General features: G+C 39.1%; 1 annotated feature.

Annotated features, from left to right (window-relative positions):
- Positions 284-1,483: an enhancer, noted in NCBI's record as "BRD4-independent group 4 enhancer chr1:62071813-62073012 (GRCh37/hg19 assembly coordinates)". NCBI's record gives its function as "activates an origin of replication core promoter dependent on BRD2, P300/CBP, MED14 and CDK7 cofactors, and independent of BRD4, by STARR-seq in HCT116 cells {active_cell/tissue: HCT116}" and the evidence as "EXISTENCE:reporter gene assay evidence [ECO:0000049][PMID:35650434]".

The following is a 3,362-nucleotide window of genomic DNA, read 5'->3' as shown; positions in this document are numbered from 1 at the left end:
CATGTGTGTAAATGATAAGAATCTACTAGATTTTCTCCTAGAGCACATTTGTTCCATTAGTATTATCACCTTGGCCTGCTTTGTGTTTGAAAAATCAGTGACATCCTGTTGTAAGCTTTCATCTTGCTTCCCTCATATGAAATCGTACTCAGAGCAGCGAGGCATTTGAAAGCAATGAACTTCAGGGAATTGTCTAGGCATCTGGGAATAACAAAGCCTTCGTGAAATATTCTCACTGCCCGTGGGCTATGTGAGCCCCAAATGCATCACACCCTTTACAAGGGAGCCTCTTCCTTGCCTGGCAGAACTGAGATCCGCTCCAAGAACACTTCCTTGACTCTAGCTGGTGCCCACTGGTGCTCTATTGGTGGTTCCAAAACCTCCTCTTTCAGAGGCAGAAAGAAGCTCATGGTTCCACGGTGGGGTGCCAAGTACTTCACCCCACTGCTACGTACTTGACCGCATGGAGATGAATTTCAGGAATATCTGCTAGGAAAGAAAGACAGGACCTCATGCTGAGAGAAAAAGTCCCCCAAGTTGAGTTGGCGCTCTGGAAAACAACTGGATATGTCATTAGTCTTTATTACAGTTTCCACAGACTAAAAAAATTGTTTATAAAACAAAAGCAGCCTACAATTTGGTATGGTAACATTTTTTAGAATTTTGTTTTTGCACAGCAGAAAACAGGGCCGATGTGGTCATGGTGGAAATGAAGCCAGTTCTGTTACCCCAAAGCACCTCTCCTAAAACACTAATCTGAGTAAGCCAGGCCCGACGTTGCCAGGAACAGCCGGCAAGGCTCTTTGGAGAGACTTCCGGGACAAAACGCTCCAAACAACCACAGCAAAGCCCCACACCATGCAACAACTTGTACATGGCACACCCAGGCTCTGATGGCTCACATTTTTAGAAGTAGAAGAAAATCTACCAGTTCCCCTCCTTTCTTCCATTCCAGTGGGAGTTAATCACAGTTGTTATTTCCTGGACAGTATCTTGGTATACATGATTCTCGCCTTTCCTCTACCACGAAGACGTCCTAGGCAAATGGAGACATCTCTCTTGTTTGCAGTTCTTTGGTTCTCAGTCAGTGAAATATGCCAAGTGAAACATCCAAGTTTCCTGCTCGATGCTTTGGGCCAGATCATGTGAAAACTAAAGAAAATCCATGTTTCCTGGCTTGGAGAACAAGAGTAACCAGCTACTTATTAATCGCAAAGGAAGTGTTACAAAAAGGTTAGACTCATGGTGAGAAAGCAAAACTGTTTAGGAAATCTATTAAAATTTGGGGGTTGGGAGACCTCCTTTTGGTTTTTTCTTCATTTTCCATGTGACTAGAATAATTTATTTTTCCCTTTCCTGTCATTCTGAAATTAAATTCAGAAGTGCCTGCCGCAAGCAAGAAATTTTAGGGAACGTTCTTATATTTTAGAGGCTACTGTACTTTGGAAACTATTTGGATAGTTCTTACACCTATATTTTCTCAGGAAAATAAAAATAGATTCTTCATTTGTCTGATTCATTCAATGGCATGATGACTCAGGGCTGAACAAGGACAGACAAGTCTCTTGCCCTCAGCAATTTGTATGTTATAAGTGGGGGAGATATACAATCAACTTGTAAATTCAAAAATCTATAATTTAATTTCCAACAGCAATAACACTTTAAGGAAAAATAAGGCACTATATTAAGATAAGGATATAGAAAATGAATAGGTAAGGTGATTAGAGAAGACTTCTTGGAGGAGAAGATACCTGAGCAGAAAGACTGGAAGGAGTGAGCCATACATAGTTCTAGAGGAAAGGCATTCCCTAGACAGGCAAAGCCAGTGGCTGATGCCAGTGTGGAAGGGGAAGTGGTGGTGTTTGAGATTAGAAAGGTAAGCAGAGACCAAAGCCTGTAGGCTCCCGTTTAGCATGACAAGGCATTTATATTTTATTCCAAGTGTCATGGGAAGCTTTCGGGAGACTTTGTTTATTGTTAACTTGTTCTCTACTCAGTTCCAAAAAGAGGTAGAAATACTTTTATTTATTTATTCAGCAATTATTTATTGAGTATTAACCATATATCACCTGGGTTCAGTGCTAAAAGAGTTGTGACCTCTGTAACCAAATGACAGAATAAGAAAATAACATGAACAACTAGAAAAAAGTAGAATGTGGAAAGTTCCAGAAGAGAGGGAAAAATACTACTACTACTACTACTACTACTACTAATAATAATAATAATAATAATAATATAACAAGAACATGAACTACAAATATCAATGGAGTCCTTTTTGTGTATTCGGTACTCTATGTATTATCTCATAATGACTCAGTGTCTTATGTACTATTATTATTATTCTCTGAAGTCAGAAAAGCAAAGTAATACTATAGGTTAGAAAGTGAACAAGTCAAGAAGTCAGGATTTGAATCCAGGGTTGTCTGATTCCAAAGCACAAGGTTGACCAACTTAGAGGAAGGAGCTAACGAGATAAGCAATTGTGTTCTCCAATATTTCCTGAAAATAACAATGATCCTAAGTTTGGGAAACTCAATATGTATAGCTGCTGCTCATAGGAATAAAATATTTTATCTACTGCATGGGGGCCAGATTGATTTCAGGTATATATTCCAAAATTAAACAAGTATGGCATTGTAAAGATGAGTATTAATTTCTTTAAAAAATGATTACAAAACATTGCAAGGAAAACCGCCCACAAACTGTTATTTTTACTTCATGAAGCATGTTGCAATCTGTAATAACTGTGTCCTTTTTGTCCTTTCCTCATTTTTTTCTTTCCTCCCCCACTGTACTGTAGTCACCATAAGGGTAAAAACTAGGTCTTTCTTCCCCATGGTATCTCCAGAGCCTAACACAGTGCCTCAAACACAGTAGGGGCTCAATTACTATTTGTTGGATGAATGAATGAATGAAACTTCATTTCATTTCTTTGCAAGGCCTGCTTTTACTGCCATGTGGCACTCCAGATAGCATGCAGAGATGGCAGAGAGACTAATAAACACCTGAGGTATTTTGCGATTCATGGCTGACCAGTGCTGACCCTTTATTTAATTAAATCTTTCACTTGTGAGTGAATCATTTCTTCCATTAATTAAAATAGGATACACATGTGTCTCTGTAAAGTATGTGTCAAAAGAAAGCATTCCACCTAAAATATACAGGAGGCGCTGACCACCACGGCGAGTCATCCATCATAATCTGCTAAAAAGATGGGCTCTGGAATTAGAACTAACACAATCATCTTTTATGCCCTCAAAAATATTAGTTGCAGCTTCTCAACCAATCTATCAGCTCCTGCATTAATATAAGGAGGAATGCATAGGGTGAAGCCATAAGAGAACTGTTTAGTTTGGAGGGCA

The sequence above is a fragment of the Homo sapiens genome, chromosome 1 (assembly GCF_000001405.40).
Source record: "Homo sapiens chromosome 1, GRCh38.p14 Primary Assembly".
Taxonomy (NCBI): domain Eukaryota; kingdom Metazoa; phylum Chordata; class Mammalia; order Primates; family Hominidae; genus Homo; species Homo sapiens.
The sequence above is the reverse complement of the archived record's forward strand: the minus strand, read 5'-3'. Positions and strand labels throughout refer to the sequence as shown.